The 25,643-nt window shown below is 46.9% G+C and overlaps 1 protein-coding gene, 1 non-coding gene and 1 pseudogene across 18 annotated transcripts; all 3 read right to left on the bottom strand.

The window, feature by feature from the left end:
* Window positions 1-1,607: 1,607 nt before the first annotated feature.
* On the bottom strand, window positions 1,608-7,341 carry LILRB4 (leukocyte immunoglobulin like receptor B4). Of its 17 annotated transcripts, none has more exons than NM_001394933.1 (12): window positions 7,259-7,341; window positions 6,759-6,794; window positions 6,288-6,572; window positions 5,841-6,140; window positions 5,477-5,527; window positions 5,146-5,196; window positions 4,395-4,511; window positions 4,011-4,086; window positions 3,890-3,927; window positions 3,577-3,632; window positions 2,533-2,691; window positions 1,608-2,453 (listed from the first exon to the last, which is right to left on the bottom strand). In NM_001394933.1, the coding sequence occupies exons 1-12, from the start codon at window positions 7,290-7,292 to the stop codon at window positions 2,307-2,309; spliced, it is 1,350 nt and encodes a 449-aa protein (NP_001381862.1). In that variant the 5' UTR covers window positions 7,293-7,341; the 3' UTR covers window positions 1,608-2,306. The 17 variants fall into 17 exon arrangements, with proteins under 17 accessions (NP_001381862.1, NP_001265357.2, NP_001265355.2 ...); NM_001278428.4 differs by having other exon boundaries at window positions 2,533-2,688; NM_001278426.4 differs by having other exon boundaries at window positions 3,577-3,629.
* On the bottom strand, window positions 21,461-22,415 carry VN1R105P (vomeronasal 1 receptor 105 pseudogene; annotated as a pseudogene).
* MIR8061 (microRNA 8061) lies at window positions 24,943-25,017 on the bottom strand. Its single transcript, NR_107028.1, has one exon. It is a non-coding gene; the product is annotated as a microRNA 8061 (primary transcript).
* Window positions 25,018-25,643: the final 626 nt, after the last annotated feature.

The raw sequence follows: 25,643 nt of genomic DNA, 5'->3' as shown, positions 1-25,643 counted from the left end.
AATTGAACAAGACGCATATAAATGGGAAGGTAGCTTATGTTCATGGTCTGCAAGAATTAACATTGTTAAAATGTTCGTATAACAATGAGAACACATGGACACAGGGAGGGGAACAACACACACTGGGGCTTGTAGTGGGAGGGCGGATGATGAAGGGAGGGAGAGCATCAGGAAAAAGAGCTAATGCATGCTGGGCTTAATAACTAGGTAATGGGTTGATAGGTGCAGCAAACCACCATGGCACAAGCCTACCTATGTAACAAAGCTGCAGGTCCTGTACATGTGCCCTGGAACTTTAAAAAAAAGTTCATACCTGCAGACTCAATGCAATTCCTAACAAAATTCCAAGGTCGTTTTCCACAGAAATAGAAAAACAATCCTAAAATTTGAATGGGACTACAAAAGGACCCCAAATAGCCAAAACAATCTTGAGCAAAGGGAAGAAGGGGATATCACACTATGGAATCCCCAAATATCCTACAAAGCTACAGCCAGGAAGACATCATGGAACTGGAATAGAAACAGGTACAGTGATCAGTGCAACAGGGATGAAAGCAAAGAAGGAAACACACATATTTATGGTGAATTGATCCTCAACAAAGTTTCCAAGAACAAGAGAGGGCAGTCCTTTTGAATAAATGGTCCTAGGAGAACTGAGTCTCCATGGAGTGTGGAGGTCTGGGTCCTCCCTGGGCTAGTGGATGGCCAGAGCAGTATACACACTCGGCTCAGCTGAACGTCCCCTTTCCTGGGAGGAAGAAGGCTTCATTATTTTCTGTTTGAGGGTAAGCTGTGCAGCTGGGCATAGGACACATCCTGGGGATATTCATATGAAGAAGAATGAAATTGAACCCTTATCCCATATACAAAAATGGGTGGGAGAAAAGCTTCAAGACGTTGGTCCGGGCAAGGTTTTTTTGGATATGGCCCTGAAAACACAAGCAACAAAAGCAAAAATAGACAAAAGGTGTGGCTTCTAAACAGCTTCTGCAAACAGAATGAAGAGACAACTCAGAAATGGGAGAAAATAGTTGCAAGCTGTATACCTGATAAAGGGTTAATATGCAAAAATATGTAAGGAACTAAAACAAAGCAACAGCAAGAAACCAAAAACTACTTGAAACATGGGCAAAGTAGCTGAACAGGCATTTCTCAAAAGAAGACATACAAATGGTCAGCAGCTATATGAAAAGGTGCTCAGACAAAAGCTTTGTCTATTGAGATGATAATTTTTCATTCCTTTTGTTAAAATACTGAATTACATTGATTGAGTTTTTGAAAATTAAGCTATCCTTGCTTTTCATAAACAAAATCAAAGGATAACAAAAAACCAGTGTGGTCATGATATACTGTCTATTTTATAGAGACATGAATCTTACTTGTTAATATTTGTTAAGGGATTTATATTTCTGTGAGAGATCTTCTATGACTTTCCCATTCTGTAGTTTCCTTTTCAGGTTTTGGTATCAACTTGTTCCTAGTCTGATCAAATGTATTTGTGTAAATATATACAAAATATTCTCAGGGAAAATTTATGCAAGTTTGTGTGTGTGTGTGTCTGTGTGTTTCATGAGTGCATAAGAGTTTGAAAAAACCACCAACAAACCTTGCTGAAGTGGCATTTACTTTGTGGGAACATTTTTGATTACAGGATCAATGCATTTTATATATGTTTATGTATGATGATTCAGTTTTTCTATTTATCCTTATGTTCATTAAGTAAACTGTAATTTTTCGTATTTCATCTATCTCATCTACATTTTCTGTTATGTCAGCATAGAATTGCTGACAGTTTTCTTTCACCTCTGTAAAGCTGTGTGTAGGGTCTGTAGTGCTGCCTCCTATTTTGTTCCTGTATGGAAATGGATGCCTGCTCTTTTTTCATTTTTATTTTTCTCATTGTGGCCAAGATTCATGTATCATTAATGTTTTCAAGAATAAACATTTTGACTTTATTAATTTTTCTCTATTTTTTGTTTGTCCTCATTAGAAGCTCCCATTTTCCCATGTCATTGGTTTGATGTGTAATATTTACATGATCATTCAATTTAAAACATTGTCTGACTTCTGTTTTGTTTTATCAGTTAACTCATTGTGAATTGAGAGGTCTGCTACTTTATTTTGATAATGCAGGGATATTATTTATCTTTGCAGAATCAGGTGACTCCCAACGTTCCCGGAATCTTCTAGTGGTCTGTGTCAGGGGTCTGGGCTGGCTGGGGTTCAGTGATGTCTACTGGAGGCAGCTTCCATGCCTTCTGGGGTCCTGAGTCTCCATGGCTTGTGGGGTCTGGGTCCCCCCTGGATTAGTGGATGGCCAGAGTGGCATAGACACTGGGCTCAGCTGGAGAGGCCCCTTCCTGGGATGGAGGAGGCTCAGTTGCCTTCTGTCTGAGGGTAAAGCTGTGCAGCCGGGCGTAGGTCACATCCTGGGGGGCTTCAGATGCAGCAGCCTGCAGCGGGGGAGAGTGAGAGGGAAGGAACGTGGTGGGGGTGGGGGAGGCCTGGGGGCCTGGAGAGGAAAGGACTCACCTCAGTGTCCATCTGTCTGTCCTCTTCTGCCTGTCTGTCCTTTGTGTCCAGGAATTCCCCAGACAGTGGGGAGGGAGGAGAGGCCATTTCTCTCCTAGGTCTGGAGTGTTTCACCTTGGCATACGTCACTGCCTGGGGGTCTTCATCGTGTGGGCTCTGCTGGAGAGAGACAGTGGTGGGGGGTGTCCTTGAATCCTCCTGACTCCCTGGAGTCAATTTTCCCCACTGTTCCCAGGGTGATCCGATTACATCCCTTTCCTGACGGAATCTCAGGGATGCCCTAAGGCCGTGGAGGGTCTGGCCGCTCCCTCCCTGTGGTTCTGGTCTCTGCTCCTCACTCTGACCTTGCCCATTTGGCTGCAGCCTCACGCGGCCTTCCTGCAAGAGCTCGCTGCTGCCTCGGGGCCTTTGCACGGCTGTTTCCTCTGCCTGCAGGGGCTCGTCCATTAGAGGATCACGTGGCCCTCTCCGTCCAGGCTTCTCAGATGACAGCTGAGCAGACAGCCCTCCCTTTCCATTCAGACTGGCCCCACTGCCCCACACTCTCTGCCCTTTACCTGGTTTATGTTCCTTACAGCACGTTGCACTCCTGGACACGATGCATTTATTTGCATTTTGTCTCCCACCACGAGGTGAGCTCAGGAGGCGGGGGCGGCTTTGCTCCCTGCTGTGTCTGCAGCTCCCATGGGGAGCCCCATCCACAGTGAGCTCCCTGGGAACACTCACTAGATGAATGAATGAAGGGGAGCCCAGGGGACTGGAGTGGTTCATTTATTCGTCATCCTCCTGAGGCCTGGGGAGCTCTCTAACAACCAGATGGCCAAACAGAGGATGAGGAGCAGGAAGGGGACCCGGGAGGAGGCCCATGAGGTCCCAGGACAGCAGGAGAGAGTGAGGTCCCAGCAGGCAGGAGGCAGCGTGCTGGACAAGGAGGGGTCCACCGTGACGATGCTGAGAGCCGGGGGAAGGAGGACAGAGAAGTCCTGCAGGATTAGATCTGGCACCAGGAGGCCTTTGGTGCCGGGGACAGGGGCGGGTTCTCACCCGAGTGTCCATTTCCACCCCGTCCTCAGGCTGTGTGTTCTTCACGGCAGCACCTGCTGGGGTAGAGCAAGGGGTTCATCTCCTGGGAAGGTTCCCTGGGACCTCTCATTCCTGCTGGTCCCTGCCCTGTTCCCATTAGTGCCACTGCAACGCAGGGAGGGGCTGTGATGTCCCCGAGGTCCCACAATGTGGGTTCAGACCACTTCTCCCTGAGTCCCTGACCAATCCTAGCCTGTGCTCCTGCCCCCATTGCTATTGAAATTTTGGGACCCCCAGCTCCACCCCAGGTGCACCTTCTCTGCCTCTCACTCACAGAAGTTTTCTCCCTGGACGTCAGCAGCTGGGCTGGACCTGGGGGAGGATACGGGAGTGTAAGGGGACAGTGAGGTGGCTGTTGGGATGGGTGGGAGTCTGAGGTCTTTGGGCAGAATTACCTCCTCTGTAGGCCCCCGTCCTTGGGCTCTGGCTCGGCAGCCCCTGGAGGACGTTGGAAATCAGCCTGTCTCTGGGCTGGGGGAAGATGGACAGAGTCTCAGCTCTGGGAACGTTAGAACCACCTGCCTTGCACATGCAAGTCAAGAGGAAAGGAAACCTGAAAATACACTTGCAAGGATGTTTTAAATACTTTCTAAGTTTAGAAAAACCGAAAGAATAAAGCACTTCCATTACTCCCTCATTCATTTTCTTCTTTCTAGATTTTCTCACTGGGAATTTCTGGAGCAGAGTTTCTAAGATGACCTCTCCTATCTGGAGTCCCTTTGGCTGGTGCCCTGAGCCCACCCTCCATCAGCCCACGGGTCCCCCAATTTCCTACTTACCCAATGTCCTGTGTTTTCCCTGACGCCAGTGTTGGAGGAGGAGGAAGAGGAGGAGGGAGAGAAGCAGGATGGAGACCACCAAGACCCCGATCAGTACCTCCCAGTGCCTTCTCAGACCTTGGGCGTGATGACATCAGGAATGGGGATGATGTCATTGATGTGCACACCTACTGTGTGTGCACCTACTGTGTGTGCTGGGTCTTTCTTTCATTACCTCCAACCCTCACAGCAGTTGTGCAACCTGAGATTGCCACCCTCTCTCCACCCATTTCACAGATGCACAAACTGAGGCTCAGAGAGGGGAATCGCCTGCCCCAGACCCCTCCAGCCAGGAAGCGGCAGAGCTGGGAAGGAAACCCGGGAGTCTGAGCTGCAGCCCTTGTTCCTGCACCAGAGCCAAGCCCCAGAGTTGCAGGGAAAGAGCCTGACTGTCTTGAACCACCGCCCTGCTCCCCTCCCCTGCCCCAGGTCACCGTCTCTGCTGCAGGTGGGACCGGACAGGCCCCTGCGGAATCGGGTCTGGGAGGTTCCCTGGGAGGCCTCCTCTCCCAGGAGGGCACAGCTGGGAGTCAGAGCTGAAAGGAACTTTCCCACCCGCAGGCCTCTCTCCTTTACACTTGGAGAAACTGAGGCCCATGCAGGGGAGGGGCCTGTCCACATCACCACCTCCAGAGGAGCCTTAACCTAGGACAGAACCCACCCTTGGCTCCCCTAGACCCTGCCCACCTCCCACTCAGAGCCCCTCACTCACCACTGTGGGGGACTGACCCTGTAGGCATGAGGGGCTGGTCCTCAGGGCCTGCTGGGTTAGAACAGGGATGTGAGGGCTGGGGCTGCCCTGCTCCCCACATCAGCTCGGCTTCTCCCCGCAACATCTCCTTCAGCCTTGACCCCCTCACCCCTCACCAGCCCAGCCTCAGGGCCTTGGGAGCCTGTGGTGCCTCCCAAGTCGCTGCCCGACTCCCACACCCGTGGAAGCAAGCCCAGCTGAGAATTGGAACGAGGACTTAGATCCACTGAGCATGTCTTGAGACAGGCCTCGGGCTTTGGAAACTCTCTGGACAGAGGCCTCTGAGACTCACCAGCTGTTGAGACGGACCTTGTGGGTGAGGGCCTGGGACCCTCCAAGGATCCTGGGTAGAAGGACAAGAGGAGGGTGAGAGTCTGGGGTTGCCCTTGGGTCTCCACATCAAATTGAACCTCTCCCTATATCTGCCCTGCAGCTTCCCAAGGACCATTTCTCTGTCCACCTGGCACCTTCTGGACCCTAGGTGAGGGAGAAGAGCATGGGCATGCCTGGGAGGGCCCCTGTTGTCCTCCTCCCCTCTGAGGGCTGAGTCCCCCACTGGCTGAGCCCCTCTCCCTCCATCCCTGCCCAGAGCTCTCCTGGCAGCAGGGCATGAACGGAGCCACTGAGCTCAGAGAGGACAGGGTCAGGAGCCTCACCTGAGACTATGAGCTCCAGGGGGTCACTGGGGTGTGACAGCAGGTAGTGGGAGAAGCCGTGTGAGCTGAAGCACCTGTAGGTCCCCCCGTGCACTGAGGTCACAGGACTCATGGGGAATTCAGCCTGGTGCTGCTGAGCTCCGTGCTCTGATCTCAGATGCAGTAGGGGATGGGCTGCCCGCTCCTTGATCAGAAGAAAAGTGTCCATTGGGCTCCGTGACTGACACAGCAGGGTCACGCTCTTTCCTGAGGTCACAAGAGGACTCGGCAGGGCTGAAAGGGTGGGTTTACTGTAGGCTCCTAGGAGAGAAGGAGGCACCGTGTTAAATGGGGCTCCCACCTCCCACATCATCCCCAGGGCTGGGCTGTGAGAGGGAGATGCCCCTGAGAGCTGACCCCCTTCCTGAGGGCAGAGCCTGGGGCTGGGACCCCTGAGTGTCCTCTCACCTGTCATCACCAGCTCCAGGGGGTCACTGGGCTGTGACCAGCCTACAGGGCTGCGATAGTAACAGCGGTATCTCCCTGCATAGTCCTCTGTCATGGATGGGATGGAGAATCTGGCCTTGTTCTTGGGCTCCAGTGGGTTCTGTCTGTCCCAGGGTGCTGGGCTTTCCTCTTTATCCAGACGGTACTCCCGAGCCTCCAGGGTCCCCTGACACCAGATGGTCACAGAGTTCCCCCAGCTGATCACAGAGCCTGGCTCAGCCCAGAGGGTGGGTTTGGGGAGGGGCCCTGGAAGAAAATCAGAGGCTGGATCCCAAGACCTTCCTCAGCCCTCAGATCCCAGCTCTCAGCCCCAGGACCCCCCCGTCATCCTCATCAGTCACCCAGAACTGCTGTCTCCTCCCCCAGCTGCCCATGGGTGGCCCCTTGTCCCAGTGAGGAGGAGGGACCTGGGACAGCTGGGGACAGACTCACCTGCCTGCATGTGGGTCCTGGGGCCCAGACTCAGCCCTGGAAGAGAGTTCCCTGTGAGGGATTTGCCCCGGAAGCCTGAGCAGGTCCTCTCTTTACCCTGAGATTTTTTTTTTTTTTTTTTTTTGAGACGGAGTCTCGCTGTCACCCAGGCTGGAGTGCGGTGGTGCGATCTTGGCTCACTGCAAGCTCCGCCTCCCGGGTTCACGCCATTCTCCTGCCTCAGCCTCCCGAGTGGCTGGGACCACAGGCGCCTGCAACCACCCCCGGCTAATTTTTTGTATTTTTAGTAGAGACAGGGTTTCACCGTGTTAGCCAGGATGGTCTCGATCTCCTGACCTCGTGATCCGCCCGCCTCGGCCTCCCAAAGTGCTGGGATTACAGGCGTGAGCCACCGCGCCCGGCTACCCTGAGATTTTTGAGTCTCCTAAAGAACCAGGGCCTGGCTGTGAGGCAAATTTCCTCCAAGACTCGGGTCTCCCCTCCCCCTCTTTAAATCTCACCGAGGCAGAGCAGAGCCGTGAAGGTGGGGATCATGGCGTCTCCTCCCAGGGGCCCCAGCTGTGCAGATGGATGAGTCCTCAGTGCCGGCAGGACAAAGAGACACACAGGGTGTGGCCGCTTGGAGGCTGGGTCCTTCTCGTCATGGGGTTGTTCCATCAGCAGCCCACAGGAAGGGAAACTGCCCTCATTTGAACCCCAGCCTGGCTTTCATTTCCCCAGAGCTAGGGCTGAGGCAGGCACCAGGTTCTCTGCAGACATTTCAGACAGAAATGGGGTCTCTCTGATCCCAGCCTGCTGTCTGCCTGGTCTTAATTCCTCTCTTGACCAAACATCAACCCGTATGTATCGTGTGTTTGCAAAGCGCCTGACACTGGGGGTACATCATTGAACAAGTGAAAAAAAAAAAAAACCAAAAACCTGCATTTTCAGGGTACAGATGAACCATAAAGCTTCCTTTTGCTGCCATAACAAATCACCACAAGCTTAGTGGCTTCACATAATGTAGGTTTATTGACTTACCGTCCCGGAGGTCACAAGTCCAAAATGGGTCTCCCTGGGCTAAAATGAAGCTGCTATCAGAGCCGTGTCCTCCTGGAGGCTCCAAGGAGAATCTGTTCCCTCGCCTGTTCAAGCCTCTGCAGGCTCCCGCATTCCTGCCTCTCCATTCCCTCCAACCTCAAAGCCACCAGTCCCGTTATCTGCCCCCTGCTTCCATGCACTCACCTCCTTCTCTCACTCTGACCCTCCTGTCTTCCTCTTTCACTTACTCAGCCCCTTGTGATTACATCAGGCCCACCTGGGTAATCTCCCCAACCCAAGATCCTTGACTTAATCACATCTGCAAAGTCCCTTTTGCCACATAAGCTTCCCCAACTCACAGGGTCTGGGCCTCAGGAGGTGGACATCTCTGGGAGGTCACTATTCTGCCTCCCACAGGCCTTCAGGGACTCCTTTAACCAAATCTCACATAGAGCACTTCTCTGCGATGACGGAGAGTGGCTGGGCACGCCAGTCGAATGCTTGGTGGGCCAGTACGCAGCCAGGTCATGGTCGGCTACTCATGTCCCATGGGACCTGCCCACTTGAGGCCAAACATTCCATCTCCACCAGAGCCCGGTAGACATCTAAAAACTGTGTCGCAAAACAAAACTCATTCTCTGCAGCGCTAGCACGATGTAGCTCCAAAATATATATATATATTTTTTCTTTTCTGAGATGCAGTCTCACTCTGTCGCCCAGGCTAGAGTGCTGTGGTGTGATCTCAGCTCACTGCAACCTCCGCCTCCTGGGTTCAGGAGACTCTCCTGCTTTAGCCTCCTGTGTAGCTGGGATTACAGGCACCCGCCACCACTCACAGCTAATTTTTGTATTTTTAATAGAGATGGGGTTTCACCATGTTGGCCAGGCCGGTCTCGAACTCCTGACCTCTGGTGATCCGCCCATCTCAGCCTCTCAAAGTTGCTGGGGTTACAGGCATGAGCCACCACGCCCAGCCAAGCATAGATTTTAAATGTTTTCACAGATGTTAGTATGCGGAGTGATGGACATGTTAACTGTCTTGATTCCATCATTCCACAGTGTATACATTTATAACACATTGTACCCCATAAATATATATAGTTGGTGAATTAAATATTTAGTAAAATTATTTTGAAAAGGAAAAAAGCCATAAATACATAACAAGCAAGCAAAAAGGCCAGATAGCTTCAACCCTTAGATCACTGCCTGTGTAAAACACTTCAGGTGGCCAGCTCTCAATAATCATCCATTTGAGTGGGCACGTCCTGCAATGATCTGGAATTGTAGTCTGTCCTAGATGGTGACTAACCATTTTCTGTCTCTGTTCTTCTTAAAAGGATGAGAGGACCTTCTAACTTTAGAACTGAAACATAGGGTGGGAGGGGAAAGAGGAAGCAGAAAAAACAAACCCCAAATTAATTGTATCTAACGGTCAGGAAGGCAAAGAAGGAGAGGCTTGCAGGAGGCTGAAAGTCAAAGTGCCGGGAAACGCATGAACACCACTGCCCTCAGGTTTCCAAGCACCTGCTTTTAGTACCTCATTCCGTATCCTTTTGGGTCACTCTCAGAATCACGGGACAGTATCTCATTTCGAGGATTTCCATGTGTCTCTCCACATTTGTGTGTAAGGACCTTATTGGAAGCTATTTCAGCCAAAGCTTGATGCGTCTGACAGTGGCTGGGGAAAAAGAAACTCCCAGAAATGGGGGCTAGAAAGCCATACACATATTGGCGAGTATCTCCTGTTTTGGCGGGAAGTTCTGGATGATGGTCTGCACATTATCAGAGATCCTGGTGTGGACCTGTCCATATTACCTGCTGTAGTGGTGTCCGCAATGCATGCTGATTTCAGGAATTCCTCTCCTTCTCTCTTTCATAAGGGAACCCTATTCCCTTAAACTTGGTTCCCAAATCAGTTACCTGCGCTCATATCCTTGTCTTAAGTCCTGCTTTCAGAGTAACCTGTGCTAGGCAAGGACTGGGAAATGCCAGGAGGTTTTTCGATGTCATCACCCCTTTTCTAACCGCTCAACATGCCTTGCCTTTACCAGTCCTGGACTTCTTGTATTTTGCTTCTTTTTTTTTTTTTTTTTTGTGACAGGGTGACACTCTGTCATCCAGGCTGGAGTGCAGTGGTGCAATCTTGGCTTACTGCAACCTCGGCCTCCTGGGTTCAAACAATTCTCCTAACTCAGCCTCCCGAGTAGCTGAGAGCTGAGATTACAGGCAGCTGCCACCACACCCGGCTAACTTTTGTATTTTTAGTAGAGATGGGGTTTCACCATGTTGGCCAGGCTGGTTTCGAACTCCTGACCTCAGGTGATCTGCCCGCCTTGGCCTCCCAAAGTGCTGGGATTACAGGCGTGAGCCACCGCGCCCGGCCTCATTTTGCTTTTGTATTCGTGCACTCACCACTCAGTAAATCTTATCCATCCTCACTTAAGAAACATTTAAACATGTCAACCTGTGGCCATCCCAGGACACAAGAGATAAAGGCGAGCAAAGCAGATATACTGGATTCACAGTAACCCAGACTTCATTTCAAATTACCTCCCCTCCTAGAAAATCTAGCATCCTAGCAAAAATTAAGTTGATAAAATCACTACGCAAAAAGTTTAGAGATAGGACCAGTCCCGGGAAGGAAAGATTTAACGCAATAGGACAGGATAAAAGAAATACCCACTGGGTCCTGCACTCACCACCTGGGTGCAATAGTTCCATGTAGCAAACCTGAGCATGTATCCTCGTATCTAAAATAAAAGTTGAAGTTCAAAAAATAAAGAAGAAAAACAGAAAGCAATTGAGATGGAGGGTGGTGAAGAAGCTGAAGGAGAGGTCAGATGGTGATGATGAATTGGTATTATCTGAATGAAGGGATGCCTGGAGGTGGAGAGAGAAGCATTGCAGGAGGTCCTGGTCATAGGTATTCAAACGGGTGGATCCTAAAGCCTTACAAGAAGTAAAAAGACCACAAGAGTCGTTCATTCATTTCCAAGTATATTTCACTCTAGAGTCAAGCTTTTGTGAGATACTGAAAACAGGACCTAGTTGGAATGAATCATAAATTTCCATCTTAACTTGGGGTCACGGGTGTTCTGTGATTCATAAGAACCCATGTTTCATTGTTTCGTTTTCTTTTTTTTTATTATTATACTTCAAGTTCTGGGATACATGTGCAGAACGTGCAGGTTTGTTACATAGGTATACACGTGCCATGGTATTTTGCTGCACCCATCAACCTGTTGTCTATATTAGGTATTTCTTCTAATGCTATCCCTCCCCCAGCCCCCCAGCCCGTGACAGGTGCCGGTGTGTGATTTTCCCCTCTTCGTGTCCATGTGTTCTCATTGCTCAACTCCCACCTATGAGTGAGGACACGTGATGTTTGGTTTTCTGTTCTCGTGTTAGTTTGCAGAGAATGATGGTTTTCAGCTTCATCTGTGTCCCTGCAAAGGACATGAACTCATCCTTTTTTGTGGCTGCATAGTATTCCATGGTGTATATGTGCCACATTTTCTTTATCCAGTCTATCATTGATGGGCATTTGGGTTGGCGTATTTGATTTTATCCAGGGTTCTACAGATGCCAAGGAAGGGGTGCAGCTCTACTTAAGTTTACCTCTTGGTCTCTCCTTGGGACCTCCTCTGACTGTGCCATGCCTGAAACACCAACCCCTCTGTCACCACCAGGATCAATTGCAACTGCTCCATGCACATGAGACTACTGCATAGTCTGGGAGCAGTTGGCCTGGGGACAGTGGGATTGGAAGACCATGGAGGGTAGGAGAGCTCGCAGTCCACACAGCAGCCAGAAGGGAGGATATTTCAACATTCTCAAATCAATAGATATGATATCTCATGTCAACAGAAGGAAGAACAAAAAACATATAATCATGGGCAGGCGCGGTGGTTCATGCCTGCAATCCCAGCACTTTGGGAGATTGAGATGGGTGGATCACTTGAGGTCAGGAGATCGAGATCAGCCTGGCCAACATGATGAAACCCCATCTCTCTCAAAAATGCAAAATATTAACTGGGTGTGGTGGTGTGCACCGGTAGTCCAGCTACTCGGGAGGCTGAGACAGGAGAATCTCTTGAACCCAGGAGGTGGAAGTTGCAGTGAGCCAAGATCGCGCCACTGCACTCCTGCCTGGGTGAAGGAGAGACCCTCTGTCTAAAAAAAAAAAAAAAAATTATATGATCATCACAATAGATGTTAAAAAAACATTTGACAAAATTCAACATCCCTTCATCATTAAAACTATCAACAAATTAGGCCTAGAAGAAACACACCTCAACAAAAAATCCCCAGATAATTCCATTAACAAGTATGCAAAGCATCTGAATAGTTGCTTCTCAAAAGAAAATGTACAGATGGCCAACAGCTATATAAAACACTAATCATCGGCCAAGCGCGGTGGCTCACACCTGTAATCCCAGCACTTTGGGAGGCCAAAGCAGGTGGATCACTTGAACCCAGGAGTTTGAGACCAGCCTGGGCAACATGGTGAAACCTCATCTCTACCAAAAATACAAAAAAAGAAAAAAAAACAGCTGGGCGTGGTGGCATACACCTGTAGTCCCATCTACTGAGGAGGCTGAGGCAGGAGGCTCACTTGAACCCAGTAGGCAGAGGTTGCAGTGAGCCAAGATCACACTACTGCACTCCAATCTGGGTGACAGAGCGAGACTTCATCTCAAAACACAAACAAACAAACAAAAACCCACAATCATCACTGGCATCAAATCGAAACTACAATGAGTATCATCTTATTTCAGTTAAAATGTCTATTATCAAAGAAACATATAAAAACATGCTGGGCTGGGCACAGTGGTTCACGCCTGTAATCTCAGCACTTTGGGAGGCCGAGGCAGGCGGATCACGAGGTCAGGAGTTTGAGACCAGCCTGGCCAACATGTTGAAACCCCGTCTCTACTAAAAAGACAAAAATTAGCCGGGCGTGGTGGCGCCCGCCTGTAATCAGGAGGCTCCTGCTACTCGGGAGGCTGAGGGAAGAGAATCGCTTGCACCCAGGAGCTGGAGGTTGCAGTGAGCTGAGATGGCACCACTGCACTCCAGCCTGGGCGACAGAGTGAGACTCCATCTAAACAAACAAACAAATAAATAAATAGATCAATAAAATAAAATAAAAACATGCTGGTGAGGATGTGCTGACAAAATAACTCTTAGACACTGTTGGTGGGAATATAAATTAGTACAGCCATTATGGAAAACATGGAGATTCCGGCCGGGCGCGGTGGCTCACACCTGTAATCCCAGCACTTTGGGAGGCCGAGGCGGGCGGATCACGAGGTCAGGAGATCAAGACCATCCTGGCCAACAGGGTGAAACCCTGTCTCTACTAAAAATACAAAAAATTAGCCAGGCGAGGTGGCAGGCACCTGTAGTCCCAGCTACTCGGGAGGCTGAGGCAGGAGAATGGTGTGAACCCCGAGGGGCAGAGCCTACAGTGAGCCGAGATCACGCCACTGCACTCCAGCCTGGGCGACAGTGAGACTCTGTCTCAAAAAAAGAAAAAAAAAAAAAACACGGAGATTCCTCAAGATACTGAAACTGCAATTATCGTAAAATCCAGTGAGTTCACTACTGAATATTCATGCAAAGGAAAAAAATCTCAGGACATCACAAGAGTCCCTGCACCCGTGTGTTTATTGCAGCACTCTTCACAAGTCAGCATACGGAATCAACCTAAGTGTCCATCAGTGGATAAAAGGGTAAAGAAAATGTGGTATGTATACACAATGGAAGAGGGGTCATCCATAAAAAAGAATGAAATCCTGACATTTACAGCAACATAGTTGGAACTGGAGGTCATTATGGTCAGTGAAATAAGCCAGGAACAGAAAGACAAATCTCGAATGTTCTCACTCATACGTGGGAGCTAAAGAAGTGGATTCCTAAACAGAGAGAGTAGACTGGTTGGCCAGGTGTGGTGGCTTGTGCCTGTAATCCCAGTGATTTGGGAGGCCAAGGCAGGTGGTTCACTTGAGGTCAGGAGTTCCAGACCAGCCTGGCCAATGTGGCAAAACCCCTTCTCTACGAAACATACAAAAATTAGTTGGGCGTGGTGGTGTGCACTGTGGTCCTAGCTACTCGGGAGTCTGAGGCAGGAGGATCGCTTGAGCCCTGGAGGGTTGAGGCTGCAGTGAGCCATGATTGTGTCACTGCATTCCAGCTTGGGCAACAGAGCAATACCTTGTCTCAAAAGAAAAAAAAAAGGCCGGGCGTGGTGGCTCATGCCTGTAATCCCAGCACTTTGGGAGGCTGAGGCGGGTGGATCACTTGAGGTCAAGAGTTCGAGACCATCCTGGCCAACATGGTGAAACCCTGTCTTTAGCCTGGCGTGGTGGCATGCATCTGTAATCCCAGCTACTCAGGAGGCTGAGGCAGGCGAATCTCTTGAACCCAGGAGGCAAAGGTTGCAGTGAGCCAAGATCACGCCACTGCATTCCATCCTGGGTGACACAGCAAGACTCTGTCTCAAAAAAAAAAAATGTGTAGACTGGTGGTTACTAGAGCTGGAAAGGGTGGGAGATAAGGAGATGTTAGTTACGGAGTATAGAAATACAGCTGGATAGGAGAAATAACTGAGTATTTGACAGTACAGTAGGGGAAGTATAGTTAACAATAATATATTGTGTATTTCAAAACAACTAGAATAAAAGAATTGTAATGCTCCCCAACAAAAAGAAAAGATAAATATTTGAGGTGATGGATATTCTAATTACCCTGATTTTATTATTACCCATTGCATACAAGTATCAAAATATCATAAGTACCCCAAACCTATATACAACTATTATATATGGATAAAAATAAATAAATGGAACTCTGGCACCAACTTTAAGGCATAACGTGTACAAATCCAGGGGATCTATTTAGGGCACTGGTTGTCCTGAGTGTGCTAATTTGATTGTGGCAATCATTACACAATGTATACGTATATCAAATCATCATGTTGTACACCTCAATATATACAATCTTGGTTGATTAAATCATTTTAAGGATAAAAAAGGATTTTTTAAAAAGATAAAAAGGAAAACACTGAACTTCTCTGTGGCTCTCCTTTTTCCCTGCTCAGCTTTGAATAACTGTGAAGGCAAAGACTGGATGCAGGTGACCTGTGCACCCTAGGACCTGGCGTGGGATTGCCAGACTTTAGGTCTTTAGGATTATTTGTTGATGTACAAAGGAAAGCATGGCCCAGAGAACTGGGCTCTGCTCTCAGTTGCATAAATATGGCCCATTCTTAAGGCCAGCAATTAAGCTCCAGGAAGATCCCTAGAGTCAGCTGAACAGAAAATTACAACAAAGTCTCTGGGGCAATTGGGGATTTCCAGGAGACATAGGAGCAGCTGGGGACTGCGTCAGTGATAATGAAATCAGCTGGGTGGATGTAGCCGGGTCTCTAGAAACAGCCAGCGGATGTAGCCGGGTCTCTGGAAACAGTCAGGTGGATGTAGCCGGGTCTCTGGAAACAGCCAGGTGGATGTAGCCGGGTCTCTGGAAACAGCCAGGTGGATGTAGCCGGGTCTCTAGAAACAGCTAGGTGCATGTAGCTGGGTCTCTGCAAACAGGCAGGCAGCTATGGGGGATTGGGGGTGGTCACTGGAAACAGCTAGATGACTGTAGCTGACTCTTTAGTAACAGCCGAATGTAACTAGGTCTCTGGAAAGTCACCTTGAGGACTGAGCTGGGAGATGGGAGGTGCCTCGTGGGAGCTTATGTCATGGGTAGAGGAGCACAGTTTATTGCCTGGCAGGGCGTACGTGTGGGAATAGATTCCCCGGCCTCTCTCTCCTCTCACCCTCTGCTCTCCTGACAGTGCCTCCCATGGCTGAACTCAACCAGACACTAGACACAAGAAGATGTTGGTGATGCAATCCATAGAGTCAGCCTCCAGGGCAGAGACAAGGTGGGAAAGGACAGAGGGTGTATTAGGAGAGGCCAGAACTTCCAGTGGGAACTGCTGCCACTGAACCGAGAAACCTAAATGTAAGGGGAGTAGTTGGATCCTAGAGTGGCAGGACTCAAGTGTCAGAAGTCAGTCGACAAAGGTGAGAATCTGGTGTGTTGAATTGGGTGTGGTTATCATAGAACTGGGTGTGGTGATCATAATGGAAAGCAGAATCAAGGCAGTAATCAGAATAGACTGTCTCATGCAGCCCTTTAGTGTTGTCTAGTTGACCGCAGCGTTCTAAGACGTGAAATAGATAGGAAACTTACTTCATTCTTACTTGATTTGTATAAGCAGAACATTTCTTGGCAAAGAGAACAAGAATCTAATTAAAATCATAAAATAGACAGTTACAGTCTCTTAATCAATTACTAGAATTTCACCAGTTTATAGACCCAGAACCCCTTGAATTAAAGGGAAGACCAGGTATCCTTGAAGGCGCTGCCCCGGTATATACTATAAAAAGTTAAACAATTATATTTATCTCAGCTTCCCTTAAATGGACCTATGGCCTTTATCATGGTAGCTGTGTACTGGGTAAAGGAAATGATCAGATATTTTGGGTGCAACTAGACACTGGCTCTGAGCTAACACTAACTTCAGAAGACCCAAAACATCATGGTGACCCTCCAGTCAGATTAGAAGCTTATGGAGGTCAGGTAGTCAATGAACCTTTAGCTCAGATTTGTCTCCTGTTGAATTTTCTTGGCCACCAAATGCATCCTGTGGCTTTATTCCTTGCTCTGGAATGTATAATTGGATTAGACATACTCAACAACTATCAAAATCCCCACAAGTGGGGAAAAAATAGGACAAGCTGTGGGGCATATGTAAGACTAGTGAATGTGTTGATGTTTGCATAGTATTCAACTAGTAATTGCTCCATAGGATAAGCTGATTGAGTTATTGTTGAGTTTTTTAAAAAATATTCTTTTTCTTGTATAAAACGACATTTAAAAATCCACTCTGTTACAAGTATGCAGGTTTCTTTTCTGTTATTTTATTACGATATTTTAATTGAAAAATAATAATTGTATATATTTATTGGGTACCATGAGATGCTTTGATATATGTTTACCTTTGCAATCCGGCCAAAGGCATGCCCATGGTAAGTGTGTTATTGTTTATTTTAAATGTGCACAAAAATTAATTCAAATGAGGTACTGTCTCCCCCTAGTGGTTCTCAAGTAATTTTCCGTTTTAATCTGAATAGGGAGAGCATCTAACTTTCTAAGAGGGGTGGAGACAACCAAGTCCCAGCGCACAGAGGATTCAGAGGTCTCCTGACATGTGTGAGTGCGTTCAGGTTTGTGCATGTGTGTGCATGTGTGAATGTGTGAGTACATGTGCATATGTGTGTAAGTGCATAAGTGGGATTAGCTCTCTGTCTTCACCCATCCATGCATCCGCTCAGACACCTTAATTGATCCCTGATCATATGCTCCATCTTGGAGGCCTAAGATGAGCAAGTTCAGGGGATCTTATGTACAGCGTAGCTGGTGATGGATGCGCTGATTCATTTGACCGTGGCTATTATTTCACAATGTATATGTATATCAAATTATCACCTTGTGCATCTTGAATATATGCAATCACTGCCAATGAAATCCTTAAAAAAATACTGACACCTCCTTTGTAGCTCTTGTTAACCCCATGTAACCTTGAACAACATGAAGGCAGAGATTGGGTCCAAGTGATCTATACACCCCAGAACATGACACAGGACTGCCAGATGTGAGGTCTTTAAACTATTCATTGGTGCATGAAGTAAAGCATGACCCAGAGGACTGGTCTCAGCTCTCAGATCCATATGTATAGCTCATTCTCAAGGTCAACAACTAAACTCTAGGAGAATGTTCAGGATCAGCTGAGTAGACGATTGCTGGGGCAGCTGGGGGGATTTACAGAAGACATTTGGAAACTGCAGGGGGATGCAACATTGTTAATGGAATCAGCTGGGATGGCTATAGCTGAGACTCAGCAAACAGCCAGGAGACTGGAGCTGGGTGTCTTGAAACAGAGAAGTGACAGCAGCTGGATCACTGGAAACAACCAGGTGACTGGAACTAGGTGTCTGGAAACAGCCAGGTGATTGCAGCTGGGTTTCTAGAAGTAGCTGCAATGCCACCTCTTTGAGGTGCTGGTCAGTTGTGGAAGGAATCACCTGGTTAATGAACTTTCTAGATGCTGACTAGAGAACTTTGGGCTCTACCTCTTATCTCCAGAACAGTTGACTGGTTTTGCAGACCAGGATGATTCCAAGGGGAAGCCCTCCAGATGGCTTCTTGAGGCTTTTCCAAGCATGACTTCCTCAGGCGCAGGGGGCAGTGGTCCCGGAGTCAGTGCCTGGCGAGGGCTGTGTACATGCTAGACTCAGCCATGGGCACCATGGACTCTGGGGACACAGCCTGGGCTGTCCTCCAAGTGAAGGCCTGGTGGTCCAGCTGAGCATATGTCACCTCCAGGGGTCCCCTGCAGCAGGGGTCTGAGGACAGAGACCCGCGGTGAGGTAGGGGAGATGAGGGTGAGGGTAGGGGGTCTAGAGGGTGGCCCATTGGAGGTGAGAAGAAAATATTTGCTCAATATTACTATAATCTGCACTTATTTATGGTTTAAAAAATCTTAATGAATTAGGAATAGAATGAAACATCATAAACATGTTAAAGGATGCCCAGCAACAAATCAATAGCAAATATTATATTTAATGATGAAGCTTAGATCAATTTCCACTAAAATATGAACAAAACGAGGCTTAATGGTCTTTCCACTTTTATTCCATTTTCTACTGAGGTGTCCTAACTGATGTAATAATATCAGTAAAAGTAAAAAACTAAAAATAAGATATATGAGGGCTAGAGAGATTTTTTCATTACTTGTAGGTAGTAAGATTCTCTAAATAGAAAATTCAAAGTCCATTAGGATTTATAAGAAAATAAAAACAAATCCATATCAATGACATTTCTATACAGCAGGGGTAGTAGTTAGAGAATCGAATGGCCCCAAACTCCTGGCCTCAAGCAATCCTCCCACCTTGGCTTCTCAAAGAGCTAGGACTAACAGTCGCCGTGGAGAGCAGTTTGAGGATATCTCAAATAACTAGGAATGGAACTACCATTTGACCCAGGAGTCCTATTACTGGGTATATATCCAGGGAAAATAAATCATTCTAGTCAAGAACACACACACTTGGATGATCATTGCAGCACTATTGACAATAGAAAAGACATGGAATCAACCTCGTTGCCCATCAACAGTGAACCAAATAAAGAAAATGTGGTCCATATACACCATGGAAGACTACACAGCCATAAAAAAGAATGAACTCATGTCCTTTGCAGCAACATGGATGCAGCTGGAGGCCATTATCTTACGTAAACTAATGTAGAAACTGAACACCAAATACCACATATTCTCACTTATAAGTGGGAGCTAAATATTAGGTACACATCTTCCCATAAAGATGGCAACAGTAGACGCTGGGGACCACTGAGGGTGGAGAGGAGGGGGATGGGGCTGAAAAACTACCTGTTGGGTACCATGCTCCCTACCTGGGTGAGGGGCTCAGTCTTACTCCAAACCTCAATGCCACACAATATTCCTTGGTAACAAACCTACACATGTACCCCCAATTCTAAAATAAAAATGGAAATAGAAAAAGCAGTGTATAGGCCGGGCGCGGTGGCTCACGCCTGTAATCCCAGCACTTTGGGAGGCCCAGGCGGGTGGATCACAAGGTCAGGAGATCAAAACCATCCTGGCTAACATGGTGAAACCCTGTCTCTACTAAAAATACAAAAAATTAGCCGGGCGCCTGTAATCCCAGCTACTTTGGAGGCTGAGGCAGGAGAATGGCGTGAACCTGGGAGGCAGAGCTTGCAGTGAGCTGAGATGGTGCCACTGCCCTCCAGCCTGGTGACAGAGTGAGACTCCGTCAAAAAAAAAAAAAAAAAAAGAAAAGAAAAAAGAAAAAGAAGTGTATAAAGGTGTGGGCAAATGAGAGGGATGAAGCACCCCAGGAAGCCACTGCCACTCCCAGGATGGGAGGTCAAGGGGTGGAGAGAGCCCTGTGTGGGAGATGGGAGGTGCCTTGCGGGAGCTGATGTCATGGGTAGAGGAGCACAGTTGCTGACAAACCACAGCCTGGCAGGGCATATGTGTGGGAATTGATTCCCCGGCCTCTCTCTCCTCTCACCCTCTGCTCTCCTGACAGTGCCTCCATGGTTGAACTCAATCAGACGCTAAAGGCAAGGAGACACTGATGATGCAATCCATAGAGTCAGCCTCCAGGGCACAGACAAGGTGGGAAAGGACAGAGGGTGTATTAGGAGTTCAGCACTTTGGGAGGCTGAGGTGGGAGGATTACGAGGTTAGGAGTTCGAGACCAGCCTGGCCAACACAGTGAAACCCTGTCTCTAAAAAAAATACAAAAAATTATCTGGGTGTGGTGGTGTATACCTGTAATCCCAGCTACTCAGGAGGCTGAGGCAGGAGAATCACTTGAACCTGGGAGGTGGAGGTTGCAGTGAGCCGAGATCGTGCCATTGCACTCCAGCCTAGGTGACAGAGTAAGACTCTGTCTCAAGAAAAAAAAAAAAAAAGGAGTGGCCTGTGGGGAAACAGCAGTGCCCTCAATGTGGGGACAAAGCATCAGGAGAGACTGGGACTGCACGTCTGAGCCAGGGAGGACAACAGAGCAAATCACAGGCAAAGAGAGAAGAAGCCCAGCTGGGCCAGAGTGCATGGAAATAAGAGAGGAGGGGACACACGTGAGCAGTGCTAAGAAGGCAGAACACATGGTTGGACCTGATTAATGTTGATTGTGGGGTGAAAGAGAGAGAGAAGTGATAATGGTTCTTAAAGCTCTGGCTTGGCTAACTTAGTGCACTTTTTATCTGTTAGCTCCTCTCTTTTGTGTGTTTTTACTACTCTTTCTCATTTTAAATTATAGTAAAAAAAAAAACAAATGAAATAAAATTTACCATATTTACTCTTTCTAACTCTACAGTGCAGTATTGTGAAGTGGTTTGACATTGCTATGCAACCATCGCCATCACCATCCCCAAAGTATTTTATCTTTCCAATTGAAGCTTTATATTCAGTAAACACCAACTCTCAGTTTCCAGGCCCCCAAGCCTCTGTTAACCGTGATTCTACTTCCTGAGTCTGTGAGTTTGACAGGTAGCTCATATAGATAGAATCTTAGCAATATTTGCAATATTTGTCCTTTATGAGACTGGCTTATTTCACTTAGCATAATATCTTCAAGGCTCTCCATATTATAGTGTATGTCAGTCACAATTTCATTTCTTTGAGAGACTGAACAGTATTTCCTAGTTTCTATAACATTTGTTTATCCATTTATCCATCTTTGGGTTTTTTCTACTTTTTTGTTAATGTGAATAACGCTGTTATGAACATGAGTATATGAGCATCCTTTTAAATCCTTGCTTTAATTTTCCCAGAAATTGCCGGGTCATATGGTAATTCTGTGTTTAATCTTCTGAGGAACTGACATACATCTGGGTAATTTTTACACTGCGTTCATTTTTTGAGAGCCTAAGAAGCAATATGAGGCTATGGTTATTATCATTTTTATTCAATACTGAGTCCCAAAGTCCTTGCGTATTAACTGGCATAATGTATGATCCAACAGATATTGTGGGGAGAAGTGATTAAATAAAGGACGCAATTGTCTAGAGGGAACTTAGAGCCCAGAGACCACACTTGGAGCATTTGTCTTCCTTGTCCAGCAGACAGTGCAGAACTGTGAGACGCGGGCATCACTGACAATGAACCCAAAGGGGCTGAATGTCGGGAATCCTGCAGACACCAGGAAAGAGATGCTTCTCAGCCAATGGCTTGGGTTCTGAATCCAGGTTACCCACAGTGATAAAATACCAGCTAGACCATGAGAGGAGACAAACATGCTCACCAGGACGAGGATGGTGTGTGTGGCTCTAGTTTCATGAGATTTTCAGGGGGAGAGGCCGTGGCTGCGAATGCATTGGACTGTCTGCTTGTGTCTATATAAGAAGAGGATCATGGAGCTGCTGGTGTAGTCCATGAGGGCCAAAGACATACCATCCACAAGGGAGAAAATGACTGCATTTGCTAAGAATAGCAATCATCCTAGAATGGGTGAGGAGAGTACCTATACATTTATTCCATACTCACGTTTTTGCTCTTCATTGGGCCAGTTACATGCATTGCAATATGGGTATATGCCACAATTTGCAAGATCCAGCAGAGGGGGCAGCAGAAAACAATGCACTTTGTGGACCTAATTCGGAGTTCCATCCTCCTAGAGATACTGAGGTTGAAGCTTCATGGCCTGGAAGCCACTGGGGAGACAGGCGGTGCTGAGGGAAACCCCTCTGGCCACTCTGTGTATAGATAGAAGACAAGTTTCATCCAGCCTCGTCCAGGAAGGATTTCATTCCAAAAGCTGCCATTGTCTGGGGGATTCGTTTAGAGAAAAGAACCAGGTTGTTGGCTAAGACCAGCTGGCTGAGAATCAGGTCTCTGGGTCTCAATATCTGTGAAGTGATAAAAGTAAAGCTAAAAAAGTAAAGGAGTGAAGAATTTCCAAGGATTCCAGCAGCGGTCTGAGTGAGAAAGACAATACCCTGATTTAAGTTAACAGAAACCGATCCATCCATTATAGAAACGGTATCACATTTCCTCAAAATGTTAAAAATTGAACTATAAGACACCAGATTTCAACTTCCGGATAATTATCCAAAAGAACTCAAATCAAGATCTTGAAGAGATATATCCACACTGATGAATTCACTGCACCAGTATTCACAATAGCCGAGGTAAATAAATGACATAAATGCCCATTGATGGAGGAATGGATTAAGATAACATAGTATAATAAATATAAAGTTTTATTCAGTCTTGAAAAAGAAGAAAATCAGATCATTTGTGATAGCAGGATTGGACCCAAATGACATTATGCTAAGTGAAATGAATCCAACTCTTAATAGATAAATATCTTATAATCTCACATAATTGTGGAATCTAAATAGTGAAATTCATAGAAGCTGAGAGTAGAATGGTGGTTAGCAGGGGCTGGAAATGGGAAAAATAAGATGTTGGTCAAAGGATACAAAGTTTCAATTCTCCGAAATGAATAATTCTGGAAAGCTAATGTATGGAATGAAAGCTATAGGTAACAATACTGTATTGTACACTTAAAATTAGCTGAGAGTAGATCCTAAGTATTTTCACTGCACACACACATGCACACAGAAATAATAACTAACTGAGGTGATTAATATATGGTATTTCTAGTTCTAGATCCCTGAGGAATCACCACATTGACTTCCACAATGGTTGAACTATATTGTGGCACTATTCACAATAGCAAACACTTGGAACCAAGCCAAATGTCCAACGATGATAGACTGGATTAAGAAAATGTGGCACATATACACCATGGAATACTATGCAGCCATAAAAAATGATGAGTTCATGTCCTTTGTAGGGACATGGATGAAATTGGAAACCATCATTCTCAGCAAACTATTGCAAGGACGAAAAACCAAACACCGCATGTTCTCACTCATAGGTGGGAATTGAACAATGAGAACACATGGACACAGGAAGGGGAACATCACACACCGGGGCCTGTTGTGGGGTGGCGGGTGGGGAGGGATAGCTTTAGGAGATATACCTAACGTTAAATGACGAGATAATGGGTGCAGCACACCAACATGGCACATGTATACATATGTAACTAACCTGCACATTGTGCACATGTACCCTAAAACTTAAAGTATAATTAAAAAACAAACAAACAAACAAAAAAAACAACTCCGAGACCTGAGCAGGCAGACACACAAGCAGCTGGACGTCCGCAGATCAGCGGAAGAAGAAGACACTGGCGGCTGAGAGGAGCACGTCAGTGCAGGAACACACAGATGGCTGGATGTCGAGAGGAACGCAAGGACGGGCACCAGCACACCACAGGCCACCGACTGGCAGAACGACATGGAGCTTGGCTGGGACAGTCAGAGAGGATCCCGGGCCGCCAGGGGCCCGACTCCAGGAGAAAACCATCGCCCTTCTGCTGAGAGCTGTTTCCACTCAATCAAACCTTGCACTCATTCTCCAAGCCCTCATGTGATCCGGTTCTTCCGGTACACCAAGGCGAGAACCCTGGGATACAGAGAGCCGTCTGTCCTTGCAGGAAGGCAGGGGTCTAATGGAGCTGATACACACAAGTTGCCTATGGAAGGCCGAAACTAAAAGAGCACCCTGTAACATGCGCCCACTGGGGCTTCAGCGGTTGTCATTTTGAATGTGGTGAATTTATTTTTATCTATTTATTTATTTTTAAGTTTCAGTAGTTTTGGGGGAACAGGTGGTGTTTGGTTGCATGCATAAGTTCTTTAGTGGTGATTTTTGAGATTTTGGAACACCCATCACCCGAGCAGTGTACACTGTACCCAATGCGTAGTCTTTTATCCCTCACCCCCTCCCATTGCTCCCCCTGGGTCCCCAGAGTCCATTATATCCTTCTTATGCCTTTACATCCTCATAGCTTAGCTCCCACTTATGAGAACATATGATGATGGTTTTCCATTCCTGAGTTATTTCACTTAGAATAGTGGTCTCCAACTGCCTCCAGGTTGCTGCGAATGCCATTATTTTGTTCCTTTTTATGACTGAAGTATTCCATGGTGTGTGTGTGTGTGTGTGTGTGTGTGTGTGTGTGTATATATATGTATATATACGCATATATACATGTTTTTTATATGTTTGTTGGCCATTTGTATATCTTCTTTAGAGAATTGTCTAAAGTCAAAAGGGGAATTGGATTTGGAGGGAACAATTTTATGGCTATTTTTCAGTATAATCATCAAGTGAAGATAGTGTCTGTTCGGCCAGTGTTACTTTAATCCATTACCTGTAGCCAGGAAGGGAGATGTTTATCACAGAGATAGGCACCAACCTGGAATGCTTTCCTCAAAAGTGATTAACTGTAGTGTGAACCCTAAATTTCACCGCAGTTTGGTCCTGATTTGGCACAAGATATGCTTTATCCACTGATGTGAAATGCCCAGGTGTTTTTTGTACGGTTTTGTTGCTGAAAGACACAATACCCTCTAATCTAAGGCATCCTCTCCAAATCCCACTGAACAATACCCTCTAATCTAAGGTGTCCTCTCCTAATCCCACTGAACAATACCTCTAATCTAAGGCGTCCTCTCCAAATCCCACTGAACAATATCCTCTAATCTAAGGCATCCTCTCCAAATCCCACTGAACAATATCCTCTAATCTAAGGCATCCTCTCCAAATCCCACTGAACAATACCCTCTAATCTAAGGCATCCTCTCCAAATCCCACTGAACAATATCCTCTAATCTAAGGCATCCTCTCCAAATCCCACTGAACAATATCCTCTAATCTAAGGCATCCTCTCCAAATCCCACTGAACAATACCCTCTAATCTAAGGCATCCTCTCCAAATCCCACTGAACAATACCCTCTAATCTAAGGCATCCTCTCCAAATCCCACTGAACAATATCCTCTAATCTAAGGCATCCTCTCCAAATCCCACTGAACAATACCCTCTAATCTAAGGCATCCTCTCCAAATCCCACTGAACAATATCCTCTAATCTAAGGCATCCTCTCCAAATCCCACTGAACAATACCCTCTAATCTAAGGCATCCTCTCCAAATCCCACTGAACAATACCTTCTAATCTAAGGCATCCTCTCCAAATCCCACTGAACAATATCCTCTAATCTAAGGCATCCTCTCCAAATCCCACTGAACAATACCCTCTAATCTAAGGCATCCTCTCCAAATCCCACTGAACAATACCCTCTAATCTAAGGCATCTTTTCCAAATCCCACTGAACAATACTCTC

Source organism: Homo sapiens, chromosome 19, assembly GCF_000001405.40.
Source record: "Homo sapiens chromosome 19, GRCh38.p14 Primary Assembly".
Lineage (NCBI taxonomy): Eukaryota > Metazoa > Chordata > Mammalia > Primates > Hominidae > Homo > Homo sapiens.
This window is presented reverse-complemented; position numbering and strand designations above follow the sequence as displayed.

What these genes read in the sequence shown, in the direction of transcription:
- LILRB4 (NM_001394933.1), bottom strand. Translation starts at nt 7,292, where the DNA reads ATGATCCCCACCTTCACGGCTCTGCTCTGCCTCG. An exon ending in AGGGTCAGTCCCCCACAGTG is followed by an intron (nt 4,512 to 5,145) that starts GTGAGTGAGGGG and finishes ATCACGCCCAAG; the next exon opens with GTCTGAGAAGGCACTGGGAG. An exon ending in ACAGACAGATGGACACTGAG is followed by an intron (nt 2,454 to 2,532) that starts GTGAGTCCTTTC and finishes CCCCCGCTGCAG; the next exon opens with GCTGCTGCATCTGAAGCCCC.